This window comes from Homo sapiens, chromosome 22 (assembly GCF_000001405.40).
Source record: "Homo sapiens chromosome 22, GRCh38.p14 Primary Assembly".
In the NCBI taxonomy this organism is placed as follows: Eukaryota; Metazoa; Chordata; class Mammalia; order Primates; family Hominidae; genus Homo; species Homo sapiens.
In genome coordinates, this window is record NC_000022.11 from 30,010,917 (window position 1) to 30,037,899 (window position 26,983).

The following is a 26,983-nucleotide window of genomic DNA, read 5'->3' on the forward strand; positions in this document are numbered from 1 at the left end:
ACTCCCTACTGTATGCTAGGCACTGTGCTGGGGGTACAGTTATGACTGAGACATAGTGTTAGCCCTCTGAGGAGTCACAGTCTGGTTGGTAGTCCAAACAAATCCATATACAACCAGTACTTATGCACTGCATTCTGTTGTCTCTTTGCCTGGAAAGACCCCCACCTCCTTAGACTATGCCAAAATTTCATACTTATTCCACAGGGTTTAGTAGGCCTTTACAGCCTTCCCACAGTCCCCTGACAGAAATGTTTATTTCTTCCTCTGACTCAGTGTTTGAAAGACTTGACTTGTGATCTTAACTACAAATCTGATCACATTTGGGAAAAATCAACTCCTTTTTAGGGATTGGGAGGGGTGAGGGAAAGCACAAGAAACAAAATGCAACAGAGTTTAAAAAGCAAGTGTGATTAGCTTGTGATTACTCCCAAGGGGCAGCTACTGCTATCTGATACTCCGAAAGTGAGATGGAGTCTCTCTCTCTCATCCATGCTGGAGTGCGGTGGCCTGATCTCAGCTCACTGCAACCTCCACCTCCCGGGTTCAAGTGATTCTCCTGCCTCAGCCTCCTGAGTAGCTGGGATTACAGGCGTGTGCCACTATGCCCAGCTAATTTTTGAATTTTTAGTAGAGATGGGGTTTCACCATGTTGGCCAGGCTGGTCTGGAACTCCTGACCTCAAGTGATCCACCCACCTCAGCCTCCGAAAGTGCTGGGATTACAGGCATGAGCCACTGCGCCCGGCCTCTAAAAGTCTTTCAAAAAAAGGTTCTTCCTAGATCGCTGCTGAATCCAGTCTGTGTTGAGCCCAGCAATACTGTGTGGCCATTGGTATACTAATTTGTATCAGTATAAATTATCAGATTGGGCTCATCTTGTTTTAGTCAGTAAACATTAAAGAATTAAACAGTGGTAAGTGTTACAGTCTGGGTCATAGGCAGGGTTGTGTGTACCATTCTTGTATATGGCATCCAGCTTATGTCTCATAGATATATTTGTATTCATGAGTTTTTCTTTTCTTTTCTTTTCTTTTTTTTTTGAGAACTTGTTGGGCGTAGTTGCTGATCATTAAATATAAATATCTTCTGTTTTACATCTCAGAAGTGGCTACATTTTTTATTCAGGAGAAGATTCCAGAAAGAGCCACTTTCCTTATACCATGGACTGAAAAATGTCAAATATTTTGCCCGGGGAATCATCCATACAGATTTTGGAACAAAAGGTGTGCTATTAATTGTAGCCCCTATTTCTAAGGCTCTTCTCTATTGTATAGTAGGGCTTGGGCCTCATCCTGAGACATGCTTTATAAACACACAGATTTTTTTGTTTTGGCAGTGTTATATTTGGAGAGAGAAATCTTTGGAAATTGCTTTTTCATTTGACAATCATTGAGCATGATGCAGTAAATCATAAAAAAATCAGCATTTTCTAATCCTCTCCTGTTTTTATAGTTGGCTATCAGCTCTTGAAAGCACAAAATGGCTCCATCACTTGTCTGTGCTTCTGAAATCAGCGCTTCTGGTAGTGCATGCTGTGGATCAGGATCAGCGGCCGGTGCTAGTACACTGCTCAGATGGCTGGGACCGCACCCCCCAGATTGTGGCATTGGCTAAGCTCTTGCTGGACCCTTATTACCGAACCATAGAGGTGAGCCCATCCAAATGGGAGGGGTTGGTACTTCAGGATGAGCCAGGGAAACGTCTCAGGAGTGATACCAGTTTTGGGAGTGGTGATTCGGTTAAAGAAAGTGAAATTTCTGTTTTGGTCATTGTTCCTTTATGCCATGAGCTAAATTGTGGTGGTTCCTCCCACAGTTCTTGCACCTCTTAAAATGGGGCAGATTATGGGTAACAAGGTATTGAGAATATAGACATATTTTCCTTTACAGTCTATCTACTTGTAAAAGTTTTTAGCTACCTCAGGAAAATAAGGAGTCTGTAAAAGGATCTTGGCATGCTAGATATTACCAGAGTGTTCTGTGGAGAAGCAGCTCTACCTGAAATAACCATCTGTTGGGTTAAAGATGAAAGAAAAATCATAAAGTACCCTAAAATATATGCAAGTATTAATTAAACTTGGGGTATAGAAGGATTTTACAGACTTGACTTTGTAACACCAGAGGCAGAAATGTTAAGAGAAATTTAGGGGAAAAGTGTGGTTTTTATATAGTGAACACAAGAGGCTAAAAATACACATTCAAGAAAGGCTTAGATAAACGCAGTCAGTACCATTTTAGTGATCATGGAATGGAGTTCAGGGAATTGGGAAATTTCCCTAAGTGTGTGCCTCATCAGGGATAGAGCCTTCCACCAAAGGGCAAGGCCGGGTGGGCTTTCTGGGAGGCTGTTAGAGGGGATTGCTTTCTGTGACACCAGGCTTAGGACTGTCACAGTCTGGATAGTCTAGCACAAATGGTCTCTCCTGGATGCTTCCCTGCAGGGTTTCCAGGTCCTCGTGGAAATGGAGTGGCTGGATTTTGGCCATAAATTTGCTGACCGGTGTGGTCATGGGGAGAACTCGGATGATCTGAATGAACGTTGCCCAGTGTTTCTGCAGTGGCTTGACTGTGTTCATCAGCTTCAGAGGCAATTTCCTTGCTCTTTTGAGTTCAATGAAGCATTCCTTGTAAGTTTCTTCATTTTGGGGACTTTCTCAATTTGAAGGAGGGTCAGTACAAATGTTAGTGGGCCAGTTCTCACATGAAACTGTGCTGCCTCTTCAGAATTTAATAGAGGTGATTTTTTTCCTGTTTCTGCTTTTTTTTTTAGTAAATAATTTTGCTATTTTCAAAAAGAGAAAATCCAGGTATACCAGGTTTGCATGAAGTCCTTGTGTTGTTTTAAACTTAGTTTTTTTTTAAAGGGATGGTAGAAACCCTAAATAGCAGTTAGAAATAGAAGCAATCAGAATGTCTGGACCATACTCCCTCCAGTCTGTCTACCAGACCCCCATGACTGTCTCAGACTCTGCACCCTCTCCTTTGATGGAGGGTACACTATCCCTGCCCTCTTTCAGCCCCTCTGTCCATTTGTATACCAGCTCTCATCTCCTCTCATCTGCTGCACTGGCTGGCTCCAGCATTTCTCTTCTCTGCCTTCTGCATCAGTGCGTTTCCCTCTCTACCAGAGCATGGGTTTCAGCTTAAAAATGTGTAGTGTCTCTCATCTTTTTAAAACCCATTCTTGGTCCTGCATTTACCTCTAGCTATCATCCTATTGCTCTTGTTCCCCTTTACAGCAGAGCTCCTCAAGTTTTCTACCCTTGCTATCTCAAATTTCTCTTTCCACTCTCTCTTAAACCCACTTCAATCAGGCATTCACCCCACTGCTTAACAAAGCTGCTCTTGTTAAAATGACCAGTGACCTTCATGCCACCAATCCAGTGAGAAGTTCTCAGTCTTCATCTCTTTGATCCATCATTACCATTTGGCACAGTTTAACCACTCCTTCCTTGAAATGCTTTCTTCAATTGACCTTCTAGTACTTCCTTGCAGTTGACTTCTAGTACTTCCTTGCTGTTAGTTCTCCTTTTACCTTACTGGATTGTTTCTGCCTCCTTTGCTGATTCCCCTTAATCCCTCCAGTTCTTTTTTTTTTTTTTTTTTTTTTTTCAGATAGTATCTTGCTGTGTCACCCAAGCTGGAGTGCAGCAGTGTGATCATAACTCACTGCATCCTCAAACTTCTGGGATCAAGAGATTCTCCCACCTCAGCCTCCCCAGTAGCTGGGACCACAGGCACATGCCAAGATGCCTGGCTAGTTTTTAAAAATTTTTTGTAAATAGACATGGAGTCTCGCTATGTTGCCCAGGCTGGTCTCAAACCTCCTGGCAAGTGATTCTCCCGCCTTGGTTGCCCAAAGAATTACAGGCGTAAGCTTCGACACCTAGCCTCCTCTCCCCAGTTCTAAATGTTGGAATGCCCCCTTGCTCAGCCTCCAGGCTGCTCCTCCATCCACACTTCCAAGTATTTCATCCATTCTAGTGGCTTTAATTGCCATCTGTATGCTGATGAGTCCCACATTTATACACCTTCAGCTTAGACCTCTCCACTTCAGACTCACGTATCTAAGTTACTACTAGGTATCTCCACTTGGCTGTCTTAATGTTGATTCAGACTTAATAAATTCAAAACTTGATGCTTCTTTTTGGAGACAGCATCTCACTCTGTCACCCAGGCTGGAGTACAGTGGCGCAAACACAGCCCACTGCAGCCTTGAACTCCCAGGGTCAAGTGATCTTCTCACCTTAGCCCCCTGAGTAGCTAGGACTGCAGGTGCGTACCACTGTGCCTGGCTGATGTTTTTAATTTTTTTTTTTTTTTTAAGAGATGGGGTCTTGCTTTGTTGCCCAGGCAGGTCTCAAACACCTGGGCTCAAACAATATCCTCCCACCCCGGCCTTCCAAAATGCTGGTATTAACAGGCATGAGTCACCATGCCTGTCCAAAACTTGATTCTTGATTCCTGTGTTTCCTCACTATAAAACTTGATCTTCCAGAAGTCTTCTCTCTCACCATATGGCATTTCCATCCCTCCTTTTGTTTGGGGCAAAATTCTTTGTCATCGTCAAGTCTCCTCCCTCCCTCCCTCCCTCCCTCCTTCCCTCCCTCCCTCTTCCACATTCAGTCAGATTCTGCAGCTCTGCTTTCGCAATCTATCTAAAACCTGGTTATTTATTGCCACCTTTACTGGTACCACACTGGTTCAAGCCACCATCATCTCCTGCCCCAATTGAGTTATCCCAGCATAGAGTCTCTTCTAAAACACAAGGCAGGCTGTGTCATTCCTTGGCTTAAAAACCTCTAGTTACATTTTACACAAAAGCCAAAGTTCTTAAAATGGTCTCCAGGGCCTTCCTAGAGGTTACCTCTCTAGGTTCATTTCCTACCATTCTCCCTCTTCTGCAATCTCCTTTAGTCACACTGGCCTCCTTGCTGTAGCTCAGAAATTGCAAGCATGTGCTTTACCTCAAAGCCATTGCACCTGTGGTTGCCTCTGCCTGGAGTGCTTCCCCTCAGATACCCACATGCCTGCTCTTTCAAGTCCACTGGGTCCCAGCCAGTGAGGCCATCCTGCACTGCCTCATATGTGTCCTGTCCATCTCAGTCTGCCTTGTTCTCCATAGCACTGGTCACTCTTCAGCTATGACTAGAGCAAGCTCCATCAGGGCAGAAGAATTTGCTGGTCATTGCTACATGCCCAGCACCTTAGTCATGTTTGGGCCATGTGAAATGCTCAATAATTTGTAGAATGAACAAGTAGTTTTACAAACATACTGTCAGCTCAGACTTGAGTTGTACACTGACGTGCTCCTGCACCCAGTTCATATGCTGTGGCGCTTGTGAGAGTGGCTGTTAATTCACAATCTCAGACTATTTATCACGGAAGCTAAGAGGAATAGGGGCACCAACAACCTGTCTGACTCAGGTTGTTGGGTCCTGGAATTGGTGGTGTGAGGAGGAGGAGGCTACTGCATGGCTTACTGGGTTCCCCGTCCTGACAGAGTAAATTGAAGTGTTCTCAGGGATGTTAGGATAAGGTGGCTCAGCTGAGCTGACTTATCAGAGTGTGCATGCCTGATTGCTTAATTTGTGCTTCATTGGACTTCCATAGGTGAAACTGGTGCAGCATACCTATTCCTGCCTGTTTGGAACATTCCTGTGCAACAACGCCAAGGAGAGAGGGGAAAAGCATACTCAGGAACGGACATGTTCCGTGTGGTCACTTCTTCGGGCAGGCAACAAGGCTTTCAAAAACCTACTGTATTCCTCTCAGTCAGAAGCCGTATGTATCCTTCAGCCTTTCCACTGTGGTCAGCAGAAGGAATTTGGGGTTGGTTACATATGAGAGCCTTTTTGAGTAGTGACTGTTTTTGTGAAGACATCTCTACTGTCTCTGGATGGACTGGTTCCATTTTTCCCCCATGATTCTGTCCTGAGGAAGGCCTGCTTCTGATGGTGCTCTGATCTGTTTCTGATGACTACTTGCTGAGGGTGGTTTGGTTTAACACAGATCTCTACTTTGCCACCCTAGACATGAATCTTTTTTGGCACTGCCTCCAGAGCTTATTTCTAGCATATTCTGTCTTACGGGAGAGGCACTTAAGTTGCTTCCTGATGCACTGATAGCTCAGAATGAGCTGCCACCAGGCCCCCAGCACCCTCCCAGTGTCAATAAGCAATGATACCCACCAAAGCTTCTGTCTCAGAACAGTAAACTGTGTTTGACATTGGTATGTGTGTCTGTCTGATTCTCTGCTCACATGAAGAGCTGGCAGGCCCTTTAAGACTTTGTTCCCCGAAGGAATGAATACCTTCTGTTAAGCAGAGAAAAGGAGGCACATAGACCTATGTGTCAGTTTCATAGTAATACTAGCTTTGTCAGAATGCATCTTAGACCCTAAAGAAGTCAAAAGGAGGCTAATCAGAGTTCATACTGATTTCCTGGACTATTAATATGGTTCTCATTACATTTAAGTAATCACAGAAAAGATTTAAGCTGACTGCTTGTCTCTCCCCTTCAGTGTGCCTTCTGGGGAAGTAACAATACAGCAGGAAAATTTCCTTCTTTTCACATGATTAATTTAAATGATCCCATAAAATGGGTTTGACAGTGTTTCTTGAAGCCAAGCTTTTGTGCCAGCAGGATGGACAATCACCATCTAACAGAATGACTCACTTTCTTAGGCAGTAAAAGCAACAAATCAAGCTGATGAAAGTCAGACATTGAAGGTGACCTAAGAAATAACTATAATGAGAAAGGGATCTAAAAAATATTTTATATTTTCATGCTCTCAAGTGGCTCTTAGGTGAAAAATGTTGGCTATATAAAATGTCTAGTCCTGTATTGGTCCTCTTGGGATAGACCTGTATCCATTGGTGCTGCTTCTTTGTGGAGATCCTGTCAGCCCTGTTGGGTATTCCAGCTGGGTGCTTGCTCTTGATCCTCATTTCCAGACATCCTAGAAGACTTATTGGGGCATATTTAAACCTGTGTCCTCCCCCCTCCTCAGGTGCTGTACCCTGTGTGCCATGTGCGTAACCTGATGCTGTGGAGTGCAGTGTACCTGCCCTGCCCATCCCCAACCACCCCTGTGGACGACAGCTGTGCACCATACCCAGCCCCAGGCACCAGCCCTGATGATCCCCCCCTGAGCCGGTGAGCCCAGGGTGATGCCACAGGCCTGACAGCCTGTGTGGGTGTATTCCTGTGTTGGGACGTGTGCAGGGATGGTCAGAGATCATGATGGTATCTGGCTCCACAGTATCTTTCTTAGGTCTCTGCAGTTTTTTCAGGGAAGTTATAGGGATTTCTGAGCTACGAGGCTGTAAGATCCTTGTTTCTGGGAGTGAGTTAGGCCCTGTTGCTTCATGTTGTTTTGCATACACTGAGCCGCTCCTCAGTGATAGAGCAAATCCTCCAGTTTTTCTGTGACCCCCTGGTTTGTGTTTTCCCCAGTGCTCTGTGCTCCTGCCTATTTGCCATGATTTGTCTTCTGAGGCTTAAAAGGCAGATGCTGTCAGATGACAGAAAATTTTGCTTTGGGGCCAGGCTTGGTGGCTCATGCCTGTAATCCCAGCACTTTGGGAGGCCAAGGTGGGAGGATCGCTTGAGCCCAGGAGTTCCAGACCAGCCTGGGCAATGTGTTGAAACTCTGTTTCTACCCAAAATGCAAAAACTAACCAAGCGTGGTGGCACATACCTGTAGTCCCAGCTACTTGGGAGGTTGAGGCAGGAGGATCACTTGAGCCTGGAAGGTGGAGGTTGCAGTGATCCAAGATCCATTGCACTCCAGCCTGGATGACAGGGCAAGACCTGTCTCAGGAAAAAAAAAAAAGAAAAGAAAATTTGGCTTTGTCACTTGAGAATTAGCTTTATTAAATTCAGACTGATAGATAATACATTAATTTAAAATACTGTAATATCAAGAAACACCAGTGCTACTTTGCCATCCACTGAGAAACACAGCAGCATCATGAAGAACGTCTTTTGGAAATAGCATTTGCAGGCCGGGCGCGGTGGCTGACGCCTGTAATCCCAGCACTTTGGGAGGCCAAGGTGGGCGGATCACCTGAGGTCAGGAGTTCAAGACCAGCCTGAACAAAATGGTGAAACACCCATCTCTACTAAAAATACAAAAAAACTAGCCGGGCGTGGTGGCACACACCTATAATCCCAGCTACTCAGGAGGCTGAGGCAGGATCGCTTGAACCTGGGAGGCGGAGGTTGCAGTGAGCTGAGATCCGCCACTGCACTCCAGCCTGGGCGACAGAGTGAGACTCCGTCTCAAAAAAAAAAAAAAAAGAAAATAGCACTTGCTGTTAGCTCATTTGTATGTATGGGGCATGGGGTTGGGGGAGTTTGAAAGGAAATCTGCACACTAGGAGGACTTGTTCCGGAGCTTTGCTGCTCCAGCAGTCTGGGCCTCGCTCCAGAGATGCTACAGCTCCATGAGTAGCCATAATGGACCCAGTTATGAAACAACTGCTTGTTAAAACCTATTGTCTCCTACTTCCTCCAAACAGTTTCCAAGATTTTCATTTCCCCCAAATTCCTTTCCTTTAGGCTACCAAAGACTAGATCATACGACAATCTGACCACAGCCTGTGACAACACAGTGCCTCTGGCCAGCCGGCGCTGCAGCGACCCCAGCCTGAACGAGAAGTGGCAGGAGCACCGGCGCTCACTAGAGCTGAGCAGCCTGGCTGGCCCTGGAGAGGATCCCCTTTCTGCCGACAGCCTAGGGAAGCCCACCAGAGTGCCGGGGGGTGCCGAGCTTTCTGTTGCAGCCGGAGTAGCTGAGGGGCAGATGGAGAACATCTTGCAGGAGGCCACCAAAGAGGAGAGTGGAGTAGAGGAACCTGCCCACAGGGCAGGCATTGAGATACAGGAGGGTAAAGAGGACCCTCTCTTAGAAAAGGAGAGCAGGAGGAAGACACCTGAGGCCTCAGCCATTGGACTTCACCAAGACCCAGAACTGGGTGATGCTGCTCTGAGGAGCCATCTGGATATGAGCTGGCCTCTGTTCTCACAGGGCATTTCTGAACAGCAGAGTGGGCTCAGTGTTCTCCTCAGTTCTCTCCAGGTCCCCCCCAGGGGAGAGGATTCCCTGGAGGTCCCTGTGGAGCAGTTTCGAATAGAAGAGATTGCAGAGGGTAGGGAGGAAGCAGTTCTTCCAATCCCAGTAGATGCAAAAGTTGGCTATGGTACCTCACAGTCATGTTCTCTGCTACCTTCCCAAGTCCCTTTTGAGACCAGAGGACCAAACGTGGACAGTTCTACAGACATGTTAGTGGAAGATAAGGTGAAGTCAGTAAGTGGGCCCCAAGGTCATCATAGATCTTGCCTTGTAAATAGTGGCAAGGACAGGCTTCCTCAGACCATGGAACCCAGCCCTTCAGAGACAAGCCTGGTCGAGAGGCCCCAAGTGGGGTCTGTGGTGCATAGGACTTCCCTTGGCAGCACTCTCAGCCTGACACGTTCCCCTTGTGCCTTGCCTTTAGCCGAATGTAAAGAGGGGCTTGTGTGCAATGGTGCCCCAGAGACTGAAAACAGGGCCTCAGAGCAGCCCCCAGGTCTTAGCACCCTCCAGATGTACCCCACACCCAATGGGCATTGCGCCAATGGGGAGGCTGGTAGGAGCAAGGACTCACTGAGCCGTCAGCTGTCTGCTATGAGCTGCAGCTCTGCCCACTTACACTCAAGGAACTTGCACCACAAGTGGCTGCATAGCCACTCAGGAAGGCCATCTGCAACCAGCAGCCCCGACCAGCCTTCCCGCAGCCACCTGGACGATGATGGCATGTCAGTGTACACAGACACGATCCAACAGCGCCTGCGTCAGATTGAGTCAGGCCACCAGCAGGAAGTAGAAACTTTGAAGAAACAAGTCCAGGAGCTGAAGAGTCGCCTGGAGAGCCAGTACCTGACCAGCTCCCTACACTTTAATGGAGACTTTGGGGATGAGGTGGTGAGTAGGCTGTGGTATTCCTCCATAGCTGCCCAAGGAGACGGCATGCTGAGGCTGGGTGCCCTTTGTGCCCAGTGCATGGTGATTGGTACAGGTTGTTAAAGGATTGGAAAGGTCCAGAGTAGCCCTGTTAAGAGAGGCTGGAGATGAGCCTCCACGACAGCGATGGCAGCCTGCCTGTTTTCTGCTTCGCTTACTTTCTGCAGATGTCCTGTTGAGGCCGTTGGAGAGGAAGAGACTTAGCATGCACTGCATGGTTGATCAGATCTCTCAGACACAGGATCATAAGTCTTCAGAAGGGCTTGAACCCATGGGCAGAATGACATCTGTAGGGCAATGCCAAGTTATTCCTGTCAGATTTTAGTGCCTGTTCTGCCTTAGTAACTACAAAGTATTAGTCCTTCCAGACGTGGGCTATGGCTTTGAAGGTTCAGTTCTTTTTAAACAAATATTTATACCCATCCTGTGGCAGATGCTGCCAGTAGAAATGGAGAGAAGGGACTGGTTTCTAGCACTGTTGAGGAGTTAGCTCTGATGGGGGTTTGTGGCTGGAAATGGGGGTTCCAGAGGGGGAGGTTCTCAAGGAGGTGCTTTCCTCTCTGGGTGGACTTGACTCAGGCAGCTCAAGTACAAGTGTGAGCCTGGCTCTCAAGTGGTCAGCGTACATTAAAGGCGGGCACATCCAGTGACTTTCAGTTCAGAGTGACTTGGCTTTTCCTTCATGCTAATGATAGTTTCTCATGTTCCCAGAGAGTCCTTCTAAGAAAAGGAGGGCATCCCGAAAGCACTCAGCTTTAACTTAGTGGCAGGCAGGGTTGGATTGACAGGCCCACTGGAGCAGCTGACATACAGAATTCTCATTCCATTTTGGTCACTTCCCTCTCACTCACTTTCTGGAACCCTGAGGGCCTGTTTTTCTACTCCAGAGTCACTGCACACAACCTGTGTATCCCTCTCCCAGCTGAGCCCAGGCCCACACTGCACTTCTTCACCCCAGTTCTTGATGGCTGATGCATCTGCAGATTCGGCAGTCCTAGCACTCGGCCCCACCCAGAGTCCTCAGTTCTCCCTTCTTCACCAGGCCTTTTCTTCTTTTGGGAGGAGACCAGGTTCATTCTGTTCAGCTGTGTTTGTTTGCCAACAGACTTCAATCCCCGACTCGGAAAGCAATCTGGATCAGAACTGTTTGTCTCGCTGCAGCACAGAGATTTTCTCTGAAGCCAGCTGGGAGCAGGTGGATAAACAGGACACAGAGGTACAGGCTCAGCCCCTGCTCTGAGTGCCATCAATTTAACTGTTTTGTGGTTCTTCTCCACCCCCATTCCCACCCCATACCCCTGGCCAAGGAAGCACCTCCCAGCACAGCTAGCCCTGAGCCTCTGGCACCTTAGCTCCTGGGAACCCACATGAAGCCTAGGATTTCTGAGCCAGGGAGACTCAGCAAGCTGGCCCTCCCTCTTCATTGCCTCTATGAACTGGAGCCTTGCCAGCTCTCACAGTGACCCAGGGTGCTGCTGCCTGCTACTTTATCTCAGGGGAGATTGGAGTCCCCTCCAGGGAAACGATTTGGACGCCTTTCTTGTACTGTTGACATCAGATCTGCTGGGCTGGTGCCACTGGAGCTGATGTGGTCCTTGTGACTCTTGCTGCCCCCAGCATGGCTCTGCTGGCTCCAGCTGGATGGCCCATCTCCTGTCAGTAACCTGGTCCCATCTGTTTTGCAGATGACCCGTTGGCTTCCTGACCACCTGGCCGCCCACTGCTATGCGTGCGACAGTGCCTTCTGGCTTGCCAGCAGGAAGCACCACTGCAGGTACCATTGAGGGGCTGTGGTAGGGTGGGCTGTGTGTGGAGGTTGAGGGTCGGCCCACAGAGCCTGCAGAGTAGAGGGTTGTGGGTATCTCAGTGTTCTGTCTGAGGCAGAGCCATGGTCTCATCTTCCTGTGCCTCTGAAATTGGTGTTTGCAAAACTGCATTTGGCATCTTTGTTCAAATTCAGAGTAATCACTGTTAAATTCTGAAATGTGCAAATGGTAGCATTTTGTTGTTTCCCAGATTGGTGAAACAACAGCCACCACTGAAACCACCATTTCTTATTCTCAGCATAACATTTCTTCCCATTCAACATGGCTACTATGAGCAAAACCAGTTTTCCTGCGATGGGGAGGGAACTATTTTCCTATTCCTTTCCTGCTCCCTGACCCCACACTTGTTTTCCCTTGTGCCATTGGTGAGCAGCTGTAGCTTGGGAAGTAGTAGAGACAGCTGAGGACAGTCTTCCAATCATTAAGGTTCCTGACTTCTTTTTCCTTCTGGGTTAGGGTAGTGAGTTTACTAGGGACCCTTTGCCCCAGCTAGGGTGTTGACTGTCTGGTGGATGTTCAGTGTTCTTAGAAGAGGAAGTTTATCTGAATCATGCCATAGCTCACCCACACGAGTGGGTGGATTGAAAATGGAACAGTCTCTTTGCCTAGTAATGATGCTTCTAGGACATGTATCTCCCCACCCTGCACCCCAAGCCCAGATATCTTTGGTTGGCTTCTCTTCTGAGCTCTTTCTCCCCTCCTTGCAGGGACACTGACCGTGTTGATCAAACGTGGTGAGCATTTGCAACAACCTGCCTGTGATGTCTGCACATCTACAATAACTTCTCCACACTAACTCTTATCATTTCCCCCTCTCTGCACTTACTAGGGTGAAGCCTGGGGCCTTGGGTGCACAGGCAGATAGGTGGGCTTGAGGGGATTCAAAGCAGCTGAGGAGAGGCCATCGAGGGTGGGTCAGGCTGCAGCCATGTGCTCCCCTCCTGATCACAGAGGTCAGCCAGGCCGTCTTGCTTGTGACGAGAAGTAGTGCTTCTTGTCTTCTGGTCTTGTAGGGGAACCAGTTGGGTTTTCAGAGCTATTTATTTTGGGTCAGTGATTCATTGAGATGCCAGAATAATGCTAGTAATTTCCAGGTCAAACAGCATCACTGCTTCTTTTTTCCCTTTTTTTTTTTTTTTTAAGAGACCAGGACTGAACAGAGGTGATCTTTCCAGAGAATTGTTTTAGCTTGGAAGACTTCAAGGAAAGATTCCACTTAGTGTCTTTCAGGGTCCTCTGAAAGAAGTCAGATAGAAAAGCATCAGCCAGGTGCGGTGGCTTACGCCTATAATCCTAGCACTTTGGGAGGCCGAGGATGGCAGATCACCTGAGGTCAGGAGTTCAAGACCAGCCCGACCAACATTGTGTAACTCCATCTTTACTAAAAATACAAAATTAGCTGGGCATGGTGGTGCACGCCTGTAATCCCAGCTCCTTGGGAGGCTGAGGCAGGAGAAGAGAATCTCTTGAACCTGGGAGGCGGAGGTTGCAGTGAGCCAAGATCGCACCATTGCACTCCAGCCTGGGCAATAAGAGCAAAACTCCCATCTCGAAAAAGTAAAGAAAAGAAAGAAAAGCATCAAATTCATGTCAGGCTTTTGAGCTGAACTCCAGCAGGAATGTTAAAGAAGTGTAGATGTTCAGAAATTTTTCTGTGTAACTACAGGTTTTTGCTGACTCACGCTTTTTAGAACTAGTTACGAAGTACAGCATTCTAGAAGATGAATTTTGTGTTTTTCTTTTCTGTCTTTCCATTGCCCCATGTCCCACCTTTTCCTTTTGTGGTATTCTTTTGTTCCCAACTGGTCTTAGTCTTCTCTCCTCCTGTGCCTAAGTGATCCTTAATCCAGCAGTGGGTTTGCATTCCGAACAGCATAAATGAAAAGTTAGAAGGCTAAGAAGCTGCCCTCCCCCAGTCTTTGGTGGGCTGTGTCAGGCTCCTTGGAGCTTCTTGTTCTTAGGCTCATTAGGATTGATTTGTACCTCAGGGCCCAGCAAAAGTAGAGTTGTAAGGTGGGCAGAAACTCATTCTTTGCCAATTCCCTTTCCTGTTGGCTCTGATGGGCATCCATCTGGGGGTGCAGAACTGTGCTGCACAGATGCCTCAGAACCCAGCTTTCAGGGGAGGAGGAGAGGGATGCCTGGGGCCTGAGTGCATTCTGGCCTTCTGGTAGAACTCTGGTTTTCCCTGGAGATGCATGGGTCGGGGAGTGAGCCATAATTGACTGACACCTATCTAATAAGGGGGTGTGTGTGCACGTGTGTTCATCCTGTGTTCTTGTCCTCCCACCTCTCCTCTTTCACCCTCTGAGCATGCATCACAGGCTACTTGTCCCTGGCTTTGCATGCTGCCAGCAGAGCAGTCCAAAATGGCAGCAGTCTATCTGCCATGTTGCTGCCTTTGATCCTCTGGAGAAGTGGCCGTTGGGCAAGGCTCCTTACTCCCCAGTGAGGCTGGGTAGTTGTTTCTCTCGTTTGAGGAGCCTGGCCTCTGTGATCACAAGCTACACAGAGGGCATTGCCTAGGTGGGTGTGGCCACTGGGTTTTCCTGGATCAGGACTAACCCATTGTTAGGACCATGTATTCTTACAGATCTCTCTTGAGCAGCATTCTTTTGTATACCTGAGCAGCATTCTTTTGAGTCAGTGGTGAGGCAGCCAAGAATCCTTGGCCCCAAAGTGAAAATGACATGTGACTCTGCTAGGTAGGGACACCCTCCCTACCCAGCTTGTTCCTGGGCTAGAGAGATGAAAGGGTTTGATCTCAAGGAGCTCCAGCACATGCAAATTACACACGGCAAAGTTTGTCTTTTGAAGTTGGTTTCCCTCCGCATACCTGCTGGCCAAAACTAACATTGTTCTGTTTCTTCTCATCTCAAGGAATTGTGGGAACGTATTCTGCTCCAGTTGTTGTAACCAGAAGGTTCCAGTTCCCAGCCAGCAGCTCTTTGAACCCAGTCGAGTATGCAAGTCTTGCTATAGCAGCCTACATCCCACAAGCTCCAGCATTGACCTTGAACTGGATAAGCCCATTGCTGCCACTTCCAACTGAAGCTCAGTGACCTGGGTGGGCAGTGGCCAAGCTGCTGTTCCTATGACAGGCCCACTCAACCTGGGCAGACCGAGAGGCCCGTGCACTTTGGAATGGGAGCGTGGAACCACCTGTACAGAGTGACAGATTTGGGATGCACCACTGGATTGTAGATTGATTTTTCTTTCCTGTCCCCCTACTCCCTCCCTACCTTTTCCATCCTCCTCCTCTGCCTTCAAAAAAGGAAACTTTCCCTTGGTTGTCTTAATTTTTTTTTTTTTTGATGGAAGACCAAGGGTTGCCAGGCCCACTGTAACTGCCGAGCTGCCTGCTGTCACGTGACACTGAGGGATGGCTTGTTTCTTCCGGGTGGGAGGATGGTGGTCAGAGCCAGGAGTATGGAGATCTGAGACCGTGAGCAGGGAAGAAAGCCAGTGCTAACATGCAACCATTCCTCACGCCACCGCCACATCAGAGCTGGTTGGGAACCCTTTGCTGCTGGGGAGGCTGGAAGCATATTCCCCAAGAGCACTGCCCTGGGCATCATCTCCCTCCTGCGAGGAGCTGAGCCAGTCCCCTCACAGATGGATAAATGAGGCTGATGTTTGGAGGGAGAGGCACACGGTAAATGGCATCCCCTTAGGCGCCTCTTTGGGAAAGGAAAGTGGATGCTCCTTTGAGGCAGGCGAGGGGCTGGGAGTGGGTAGCCGTCATGTTGTCCCCCGTGGGATCCCATTTTTAACTTGACCCAGATTGTCTTGGGCTCCTTTTACTTTCAGGGGGCTGCTTTCCTGGGCCAGGCTGTGTAGCACTTCCCACCCTCAGGCATGAGTACAGACTGGTCAAAATGTTTATGCAGTCAAGGCCAAAGCCTGCCCTGAGCCCAGACACACCTGGGTCCCCATTCTGGGGCCTGGTCCCCTAAACAATCTCTTCCTCAGCCAGCACAGGGAAATCCAGACTCAGGGTTCCAGAAATCCCCCGTTCCCAAACCAAACCAATCATGGATCTTCCCTTTAAGGGGTAGAATCAGCCTTTAGAGTTACAAGCCCCTGGAAAAGGGAGCAGGTCCCATACAATCAGCCTTTCTCCTCTTCTCTTCTTGGGACAGGAATAACTGCTGAGCAGTCCCCCTTTGCCACTCCTGGCTGTCTGAGTGGGCACTTGTCTGGCTGCTGGCCAGCAGTGAAGGGCCACTTGGTGACTTCGTAGGGTTCCTTAGAGAAGTGACATGGCCTTGAGGAGATTCAGGGCACCTTTCCTCAGTGAGCTTTGATATGGTCCAAAAACAGCCTTAAATCAAGAATATTTGTGGAGGTAGGTGTGGGGAAGGTTGGAGAAGAGTTAGGTTTGTGCTTTGTAATCTTGGCATCCATGTTTTGTGCCTGCCCTCCCTCTTGGGGAGGCCATGCTTGACTCTGCTGAAAGCTGCTAACTGGTGACAGGGTGGATCATGGTGAGGACTAGGGGTAAGGTCAGGGAATGCTTAAGCTCTGGCCCTGCCCTGTATTCCTCTTCCCCTTGGTAGCAGTTCCCTGACCAAGGGCAAGGTGTGTCTCAGGAAGGTGGTTCTGTGCATGCCTGGGTGTGGTTAAGGCGTGGCCCAGAAGGCTTCCCTGGTGCTCTCAGTCCAGGCAAAGCCCAGAGCATCTGAGCACGTCTCTGACTTCCAGTGGCAACACAGTTTGAACGTGGTGAAACAGGGTGTAGTTCTTTTCCACATTCTGTGTCATCTAGTCGTGCAGGTAGGGAAAAAGTTGGTCTAATTGAAGATTGTGCATTTCCTAGTGACAGGTGCCAAGAGGTTATGATACGGGTTTCTTGGGTCTGATGTACAGTGTGAATAAATGCTTGCAGCTCTTAGCTCTTTTTTGATCGATGAAGCACTTTTTTATTAATATTTTCCTTTGTTAAAGGAGGAACCGTAACTCTCCATAGCTGTACATATAACCCTTTTCTCCTAAAGAGGAGTCAGTCAGTGCTCCTATATTTTTCATTTTTTGTCAAAGCAAGAAGTAAATACTTTAGAATTGTTAAATATATAAATAAAGCAAATAAAGTTGAGTGTTCCACATGGTAGCATTTGCTAACACTTCCTAATTCTTTGCCCTGTGGTTTATCCCCTCTTCGTCCCTTTTCCCTCTCACACAGAAGTGTTTGAGGGCCTGCTGGGAAACTGACCTTTGGCAAAGGAAAGCTACAGATAGCCTTCCGACTCTAGACCTTGGCAAGGAGCCTCACCATGATGTTCAAGCACTGAACGCATTTCCTCAGTGATTTTGCTCCTAAAATCTCCCAGGCTAAAAGAGGGCAAAGCAGTCAGGGATCTGACCTGGCAGCTATTCCTCCTTCTCTGAAGAGTTCCCATCAGTAGTCATTACAACTACCTCTCGCCTCAAGGCTCCATTTTTAGCTGCTGCTCTGATTTCAGGGCAGCCAGTACTCTGGCCCCTTCAGTCGGGGAGTGGAAGGAGATGTGGGGTGGGGGTGAGAAAATGCTTCTGCCTGTTGTTCTTGAAGGATAGACTATGGGTGGGCAGAGAGAACTGGGGGCAGAAATGGAATTAGATGTGATTGGGTTATGCAGTCAACTAGAGGTCTCCTTCCCGCCCTCTCTCCACACAGAGAGGAACCTCTGCTCCTTAGCTCTTACAGCAGGACTGTGGCATCTAGTCACTTCAATACTAGTTCTTGCTCTTCACAGAGGTAGATTTTTCTTTACCCTACAGCACTGTTGGGCATCCCTCCCATCACATGGGTCTGTGGGTGAGATATGTTATGCTGTTCCTCCCTCGGGAAGGTTGGTATTGAGGGGTGCCTTGCTCCAGAGGCGCCAGCCCAGCATCTGTGGTGAGTTGGCTAAGATCCAGAGTGACCTGCTCAGAGCTCCCCAGAGGCCTTCACTCTTTGGGGCAGTCTCTCTAGGGTCACTTTCTGAATGTACCTTCTACCTAAAGTATACAAACACAAAGAGCCAGCTGAGCTGGTTCTAGTGTGAAAGCCGTAAGTGCCACCCAGCAGGCGTTTGAAAACAAGAAATCATTCTTCTGTGGAAGGAGAATGTGCCATCTCAGCTACCCTCAGTCCGCCAGGCAGCCCAGTCTGTGTATTCATATGAAGTTGTGAAAACCATGAGTGTGTGCCATGGCCATCGTGTCTACACACAGCCACTATTGTTCCTGTGGGCTAGTCTCCAGCAAATTAAAACACTGGCATGGCCTAGGAAGGGCGTTGCGAGCTCCTAAATGGAAAGCTTCTCTGGGGGTAGGGAGATGAAGAGCCAAGATGCTGGTGAAGCAGGTGCAGTGAGGATCCAAGGCAAGGAATTGCCCTGAGGGAGGTGGCTGCATATGGAGAAAGGCAGTTCTCTGTGGGCAAGGCCAGCTTGCTTCAGGCTGTAGAGGGAATTTGGTCTGAAGCAACAGGGCATGAACTGTGACTTTGAGCTGCCAGGTTGTCTTCATCTCAGAACTTTCCTATCCTGGCACTCTCGTTACCTTTCTTCTATACCTTGGCCTCTGTAACTGCAGTCCAAAACAAGTTACAGCTGCCTTAATCCACTGAGATTCTCTATGAGGATGTACAGAAAAGTTTTCCTGTAATAATTTTGCTTATATGCTAACTCTTTTCATGTTAGCAAAGAATATTCTATGAATTAGAATGTTACTGTGGTAGATCTAAAGGAGAATGAACAGAAGGTGCTGGAGGACCTGTTAAACAATCTCTGGCTATTAAAAAACATCAAGATGAGAATTAAAGGCATATCCTGATATACTTGCCTGCTTGCACATGAGGCTGGGAGATCCCATGCCTGTTGAAGTTAACTCTAGCCCTGACCTCTATTGATCTTTTGGGAATGAGGGCTGATTTGAAGGTGCTGTTGCAGGATTTCATTTAGCTGCTGCCAGTTCAAGTGACCTGTCCCCAGGGCTGCAGCTGTATCCACCTGATTGCAGTAGGTGAGGGCTAACAGCAGAATTTAAAGTGGACCCTGGGCTGTGGAGCAAAGTGACTATCCATTTGGACTTTTGGATAATGTGGCAGGAGTCCCAGCTGTTTAATTTCTAGTCACATTTTCCAGAAAGTTGTTCTAAGTTGAGATTACTGACAAGATTTCTCAAGGGCAGGACCAGATATGTGAGAGACTTCTAGTTCAGAGCTGACCCCTCTAAGCCTCTGACACTTAAACACGAGTCCTGCTGTCCCCAGCACACAACTGCACTGAAGCCTTGTTCCTCTCGGCTGGTGTAGAGCTCATCTGCATGTTGTGTGCAGATACCAGTAGCCTCCCTGCTTGAACAGGCCTCTCCTAGGCTAGGCAGGTGTTCAGAGGCATGAAGGTCTGGGCAGGGGAAGGGCGTCTTCTGAAATGGGAGTTACCAGGTTTTTAAATGCTGCTATTGTTTTATTTACCATTTAAGGTCTTTTCTATTATATCTGAGTAACTAGTCAGTTTTTCTTACAGTGCTCATAGCAGTTGTATTTGAATTGTATTTTCAGTGAAATTTGTTTTACATTGCCATTTAAAATTGGCCTTTAACAGCTTCCCAACTAGCTTATAAGATTTTTTTTTTTAATGAAAACATAACCCATGAGGCTCAGATGCTGTTGAAGAAATAAATGGTATGTTGCTGCTGACAGTAGTGCTTGCCTATTGTAACAGCATTGGTTCTGCTGTAGCCTCGGTGACCATTTAAGTTGAATAAATCTGTCATTTTCACCCACAAACAGTTGTTGAGCCCCTGGATTTGGGTTGTCACTGTGGTTCTCCTGCCAGTGCTATAATCCAGTGTCGTAGGTGCAGGGTATGAATCAGCTCAGCCTCTTAGGAGAGAGGGGCTCTCAGCGAGGAGGGGGCGGGGGGGGGGTCACTATTTATCTTCCAGAGGCAGGGTTCATGGATTCCTGATGTTTAGAGGCGGAAGGGACCTTAGGTCACCTACTTCCACGGTTTTCATACTGTTCTCTGGGGCCTCGTGGAGAGGGAGCCTCCAGGCCCATTCAAAGCTTTATTAGATTTAAAAGTAAGATCTGGTATGAAGAAAGGTTTTGTTTGTTTCTTAAAATAAAAAGTCTGAAAATCACTAATCCAATCTCCTCCTTTTTCATTGAGGAAACTGAGACTCAGAGAGGGCCAAAGACATCCAGATTACCAATGAGTTAACAGCAAAATTTGAATAAAAGTCATTCTTGGCCAGGCACAGTGGTTCATGCCTGTAATCCCAGCACTTTGGGAGGCCGAGGTGGGAGGATCACTTGAGCCCAAGAGTTCAAGACCAGCCTGGGCAATATGTTGAGACCCATCTCTACGAAAAATATAAATAAACCTGTCTCTACAAAAAATATGAATAAACTAGTCAGGAATGGTGGTGCACACCTGTAGTCCCAGCTACTTGGGAGCCTAAGGTGGGAGGATCTCTTGAGCCTAGGAGTTTCAGGCTGTGGTGAGCCATGATCACGCCACTGCACTCCAGCCTGGGCAACAGAGGGAGACCCTGTCCCATAAAAAAAGGAAAATACTTTCCCGACTCCTAACCCTCTTCTTGTGCTCTTGGGCCTCCAGAAAGCCTGATGTAAATAGCTGTATTGGTTCTCGTTGAAATCTCAGCGAGGAGCTTAGGCAATTGCCATCACAAGGCTTGAATTATGAGCCCTTCTCTCCCTCTTAACCAAAATCAAAATGTTGTGATAGTCTAATCCAGTGTTTTTGTTTTTAACTTTTCAAATACATAAAAACAAATGATATGTTATTAGCATGAATCATCACAGTTTAAGTCATAACATCTTAAAATCAGTGGGCTTGGGGAGGGAGCATTTTTCATTAGTGCAGATGATAGGTTCACTGTGAACTGTCCCAGCATCCAATTTCTGGATTTTGTTTTAGTTGTTATATAATATGGGGGAGTTTAATTTTAAAAAATTTGAGTTTTATAGGTAAGCGGTTGCAAATGGTAGTAGTCACAGCTTGCCTGCAATCTCTTGTTGACAAAACTGAAGTACATGCCTGAAAAAAGGGATTAATAGAAGAATATCCAAAACCTGCTTTCAGTCTTTATCATCCATATATCAGATGAGAGACACCCAAAGATTTATAAGCACTAAAATTACTTTATGCTCAGGGCCACCAGGTCTGAGTTGGCCCTGGGCCTAATGATCACAGCACTAAGCTGGTGCCCTCCCAGTCAGTGACCCCTGCAAAGGCCACACACACACACACAGCAATACAGACTGTACAGTGAAGTCTCAAGCAGCCTCACTGAATGTGTTTTAAACCTTTGGGTGTATATAGTTTAAAAGACGGTTATTAATATTTATCAGGACATTATTTATTAATATCAGGACAAATTCTCCTGAGGCAGTGCCACAAAAGTTGGTTTGAAAATCACCAGTTTGGTGGAAAGCCCCTGTGTTTTAGAGCCCACAGACCTGGGGTGGGATCCTAGCCCTGCAGCACCAGCTGAGTTGCTCATGGGTGTATGAGGAACTCGGAGACATTTCCTCATCTGTAGCAGAGCACATGGCATATAAATGGAGTGGGAAGGTGGGGGCCTAGCAAATGCTGTCCTCCCCACTGTCCCATGAAATGAGATAGATAGATGATAGCATTTCTGTCTCTGGCTTCTAGCAGGCATTTGGAACAATCAATCAGAGCCAGGCAGCACTTCTATTCCACTGTGTGTTGAAACTAGACCCTGCTCTCGCTTCCACCTTACAGGGGAAAACATTTGACTTTGAAGCATTCCAATCTGAGTTTTGCACTAAGTTACAAATGAATCACTAGCTGAAGAAGACAAACTAAAGTTCATATATGTGTTTTAGTTTTATTTATTTTGAGACAGAGTCTCACTTTGTTACCCAGGCTGGAGTGCAGTGGCGCGATCTCGACTCGCTGCAACCTCCGCTTCCCAGATTCAAGTGATTCTCCCGCCTCAGCCTCTTGAGTAGCTGGAATTACAGGCACCCACCATCATGCCCAGCTAATTTTTGTATTTTTGTAGAGATAGGGTTTCACCATGTTGGCCAGGCTGGTTGAACTCCTGACGTCAGGTGAAATGCCCGCCTCAGCCTCCCAAAGTGCTAGGATTACAGGCGTGAGCCACCGTGCCTGGCCTTATATATGTGTTTTGTTTTTAAATTAACATTTTGTAAACAGATGGTGGTCTGCATGTGCACCGATGCTTTAAGAGTGTATGGAGCCAATGGGAAGGGAGTGTGGAGAGAAACTGCTTGTTGGGGTTGAGGCAGCATCTAAGAACGCCTGAGTCCTGCCATGGCAACAATCCTGCAAAGACAGACAGGACCTCACTTTGTTAAACTGATGAGTTTAAGTTGTTCAAGACTAAAGACGAAGCCAGAAGATGCAGACTAGCTTCGCAGGCTGAGAAGTGGGGAAGGTGGAGCCAGGTGGACCTCGCCTCTGCATCACAGAGGCCTGGGTCCAGGCTATGGTGCTCTTAGCATCTCTTTAAGAATAAATCCCAGAGCCCAAGGTTGGAAGAGGAAGTGGAGGCCTTGCGTTCAGATGGCCCTCCCCACCCTCTCCAATGACAGAGGAGCCCAAGGTTGCCCAACATATTTAAGGCCATGTCATCCGAGTTCAAATAGACATGAGTTTGTAGTAAGTGGTTGCTGCACTTTGCCAGCTGGAAGATCAAGCCTTAGAACTGGAGGTTCTTTCAAGTCCCCCAGAAAGTGCTGGCATACAATGTGTACCAGGGCAGCTCCCTCTTTAGAAGTCCCTGTCAGCCCTTGGGACATAAACTGCATCCCCTGGCCCCTTGGGGGTGGTCTGATTCTTTCTGTTCTCTTTCATCTGATTCAGTAATAAGCTAGCTAGCTAGCTGCTGCCTTATTACCGCCTAACTAGAGACTCCTAGTTTTGGAAAGACAGTAAGATGTCAGCTTGCCAGCCTCTATTACTGGGATGAGGAGACGGAAATGGAAACCATGAGAATGGTGTGCCTCTCGACAGTTGCCACTGACCCCTGGAGAGGAGTCCTAGTTGGGTTGGGAGGAAGGGGGTTGGGCTTGAACTCTCCCTGCCCCCTTACTTTTGGAGCAGCAGCATCCCCCCGAGGAGCTGAGAGGTCACTCCCTGGGTCAAGCAGCCTGAGCTAGTCCCTCTCCACGGACAGGATGATTCACAGCCCAGAAAAGGGAGCAGCCACCTCTGGAAACCGTGTACATCCTAAGAGCCCCTCCTGCAGCACCTTTCTTAGGTTGATTCAGGGAGGGAAGCTGTGGGAGGAGTCGGGGAAAGGCCTGGGAGCAGTGCTTCCTCTCTCCCTGCTGCACCAACATCTTGGAAGCTTGGTGGAGGTGGGGACACAACTCTTACCAGTAGTGCTGCTCTTCCTCCTCTCCCACACCCCCACTTTCTCTTCCCCTTTCCAAATACCCAAAGGTTTTAATGTGATCTCCTGGCATTGGAGACCCTGGGCACCACTGCACATTCAGGCCAGTGAGCAGGTCAGGCCCATGTAGCCACCGGAGGTGGCAATGCCCGAGAGGCCATCCTGCAGGCACTAGCTGGAGATGCCAGTGCTGAGTGACTCCAAGGAGATTGTTTTCCTTCTGAAAAAGCAGCACATGGCTGGGCGCAGTGGCTCATGCCTGTAATCCCAGCACTTTGGGAGGCCGAGGCGGGTGGGTTGCCTCAGCTCAGGAGTTCGAAACCAGCCTGGGCAACACGGTGAAACTCCATCTCTACTAAAATACAAAAGCTGTAGCTAGGCATGGCAGCTGCTCAGGAGGCTGAGGCAGGAGAATTGCTTGAACCTGGGAGGCGGAGGTTGCAGTGAGCTGAGATTGTGCCACTACACTCCAGCCTGGGCGACAGAGCGAGACTCCATCTCAAAAAAAAAAAAAAAAAAGACACCATTCCTTTTGCTGAAGTGGGCACAGGCCAGGCCCCTAGGAACTGAGCGCTTGCAGTGCTGCAGGAAGTGCTCTCCTGGCACTCCCTTGTCCTGCCAAGAAGTGGGGACTGCAGGGGACTTTGAGCAACCCAGTACATGAACCTCTTCATTTACAGAAGCATTTTGGAGGCTTTTTTCACTACACAAAAGGTTCTACTATAGAATTTTCCAATTGTATTTTGCATTTTAAAATATACTGTTCATTAACATAAAAATATACACAATGCCGGGCACAGTGGCTCACGCCTGTAATCCCAGCACTTTGGGAGGCCAAGGGAGGCGGATCACTTGAGGTCAGGAATTTAAGACCAGCCTGGCCAACATGGCGAAACCCTATCTTTACAAAAACTTAGCCGGGCCTGGTGGCACGCGCCTATAGTTCCAGCTACTCGGGAGGCTGAGGCAGGAGAATCTTTTGAACCTGGGAGGCAGAGGTTGCAGTGAGCCAAGGTCGCGTTACTGCACTCCAGCCTGGTTGACGGAGCAAGACACCGTCTCCAGAAAAAAAAAAAGTGTACACAATTACAAGTGAAATTCCCACTTGCTAGAGGTAACTGACTCACCACCTTTAGTGAGTTGTCTTGGTTTTGTTTTTTAAAAATACTCTGCAACAAAGCTTTACTTGTTTTTGTTGTCTGTTACAGAGTAAACCGTGGTGTAGATTCTTCTGCCAGAAATTCTCACACTTTTGGAGTTAGAGAACAGAAATGGTTCAGTAAGTGACAAAATGACAGCCAGAATAGATGGTCTAGGGCTTTGTCCCACATCCACCATGGCCTTAGCCTTTTTCTTTCAACCTTGTTTGGCTGGCTCCTTCCTCTATCCCTAAAGCTGTCCAGTCCTCCAGCCTGCAAAGCAAATTCTTTCAAGTCAGAGCAAATTCTTTCAAGTCTCTGCCTCCAGCAAGTATCCTGTCTTGCTCCTTCCCTTCACTGTGAAACGAATAGAAAGAGTGGCCAGCTCTATATCGTCTTTGCTCCACCACCCCTTCCTCTTCCTCCTGCTTCTGCTGCCCCCCACCACCCCAACACTGGGTGTCCCCAAGGACTAGCCACACACTCTAGACCCACTCCAAAGCATTCTTTCTTGCAACCATTCTGCAACCTGCCACCTTGCTAACCCTCCTGCCAGTTCTTCTGCCTCTGTAGTTGGCCTGTGAGACTTTGCAGGCAGCCCTCTCACCTACTTCCTTGGCATTACTGCTCTGAGGCTCAGCTCTCTGCCCTCCTTCCACGCATGCTTCCTTGGACATGCAGAAATTAAAGTGCTGAAAATGGAGGCCTGTTATATACCACAGTTCTAAGTCTCTAGAGGCCTCCTTCAGGCACCTGGGGAGACTGCGAGAGCATCAGGTGTCCCCATCTGGACGTGTCTATGTGGCCATGCTTCACCTGCACCCCCACGCAGTTCGATGGCATTAACCTGGGGACTAGTTCTGGGCCTGAAAACTGAGCTCAGCCTTGTCAGCCAGAGATGCCTCGGGGCTTCCCCTGAACTGAGAGGCCACGACGTCTGCTCTTCGCTTTTATCCTCTGTTGCAGGATGCAGTCAGCACCTAGTGCAGGGGTGAACGCCGATGCCAAGTTTGCCCTCCTATCCTTCAACCCCAAGTAGGAAGTTCACCTCTTATTTTCATATTGTAATTGAATTCCGACACCCCACCAACCCTTCCTGGGACTGGGGGAAGCCCCATCGTCAGTCTATTTATGACACTCCGTCGTAGGAAGCTTTGACCCTGGTTGGACAGGAATGAGCTAGAGCACCCAAAGCCACTGGGCATGGTTTCTGTGTGCTGCCCTAGGCAAGGGCAGAGGGGCTCTGCCTCTCCTTACCTGGGCCTACCAGAACACCCTTGCCAGTCACATGTCTTCCGGGTCACCCTGCTGCCCTCCAAGGCACCTCATGCCCTCAGAGGGCCCTGCTGATGCCTGAAAAGCCCAGATCAAGCTGAGAACAAGGGCCTGGCTGTCTGTTCAGGAACCCTCTGCCCTGTTCTGCCTCGGTACTCTGTCACCCCTCATTGCTGAGGACCCTAACCAATGCATGCACAGAGAGTCTTGGCTTCTGACAGCTCTGGATATGCTCTGTGGCGCCTTCATGTAGTAAGTCATTGAAGGCTAAGTCTCTGTGCAGGCTTCACTGGTGACTCACACATGTCCCCACCCCTACCATTCCATGAGATGACATGGGACTTCTGTCTCAGGCACTGTTTGCTCTCAAGAATATGCTGCCTGTTAGGGAAGATGATCAGGCAGATAAATATATTCATACCCTCATCCAAAAAGAACAGGACCTGAAAAAGCCTCTTAGAGGCAACCCATTGAAAATGGAGACCAGTGTTTCATACAGCACATAGTGAAAAAGGTTTGATCCGAATTTAATCTTGTAAAATGAAACTATTATTGAAATAAGTATCTTTTTTGAATCGACAAAATTATATATAATATACAGTATGTTTTGAAATATGTATACATTGTGTAATGGTTTAAATCGATCTAATTAACATATGCGTTACCTCACATACTTATTTTTTTGTGATGAGAGACACTTAAAATCTACCCTCTTAGAGATTTTCAAGAATACAATGCATTGTTATTAACTAAGTCACCTTGTGGTGCAATAGAGCTCTTTAACCTAATCCTATTTAACTGAAATTTATCCTTTAACCAGTATCTCCCACTGTTTTGTTTAAAAGTATGTTTTAACAAAAGGTAATTGCAACTATAGGCTAATTCTTTGTTGTTGTTGTCGTTATTGAGAGAGGGTCAGTCTCGCTCTGTTGCCCAGGCTGGAGTGCAGTGGCACGATCTTGGCTCACTACAACCTCCGCCTCCTGGGTTCAAGAGATTCTCGTGCCTCAGCTTCCTGAGTAGCAGGGATTATAGGCATGCACCAGTACACCCAGCTAATTTTTGTAGTTTTAGTAGAGGTGGGGTTTTGCCATGTTGGCTTGGCTGGTCTCAAACTTCTGACCTTAAGTGATCCACCTGCCTTGACCTCCCAAAGTGCTGGGATTACAGGCGTGAGCCACCACTCCCGACCAGGCTAATTCTTAAAAATAATATTTTAGGTGTATTTCCCTCCCCAAATTATATGATTGCACAATAGGACATTATTTCATGTTTGATTTTCTAGTGTAATCAATCACAGGATCATTTTAGGAAAAGTTAGTCAAGGGCTTCCTCAATTTCCCTCTTAAAT

General features: G+C 47.7%; 1 protein-coding gene and 1 long non-coding RNA gene across 4 annotated transcripts in view; one reads left to right on the forward strand and one right to left on the reverse strand.

Moving 5' to 3' along the window:
* Window positions 1-19,952, forward strand: part of MTMR3 (myotubularin related protein 3) — a 147,695-nt gene extending 127,743 nt beyond the window's left edge. The window contains exons 13-20 of one of the 3 annotated variants that reach the window (NM_021090.4): window positions 1,452-1,647; window positions 2,440-2,625; window positions 5,612-5,782; window positions 7,011-7,156; window positions 8,564-9,968; window positions 11,113-11,223; window positions 11,693-11,781; window positions 14,714-19,952. In NM_021090.4, coding sequence (NP_066576.1) covers window positions 1,452-1,647; window positions 2,440-2,625; window positions 5,612-5,782; window positions 7,011-7,156; window positions 8,564-9,968; window positions 11,113-11,223; window positions 11,693-11,781; window positions 14,714-14,885 — 2,476 coding nt within the window. In that variant the 3' untranslated portion in view covers window positions 14,886-19,952. Of the gene's footprint in view, window positions 1-1,451; window positions 1,648-2,439; window positions 2,626-5,611; window positions 5,783-7,010; window positions 7,157-8,563; window positions 9,969-11,112; window positions 11,224-11,692; window positions 11,782-12,540; window positions 12,568-14,713 lie in introns of all 3 variants that reach the window. The other 2 variants (NM_153050.3, NM_153051.3) reach the window with 2 other exon arrangements.
* Window positions 1-26,983, reverse strand: part of HORMAD2-AS1 (HORMAD2 and MTMR3 antisense RNA 1) — a 71,512-nt gene that overhangs the window by 2,171 nt on the left and 42,358 nt on the right. Inside the window, exon 4 of the long non-coding RNA NR_110541.2 lies at window positions 7,701-7,813. This is a non-coding gene — a long non-coding RNA (HORMAD2 and MTMR3 antisense RNA 1). The remainder of the gene's footprint in view (window positions 1-7,700; window positions 7,814-26,983) is intronic.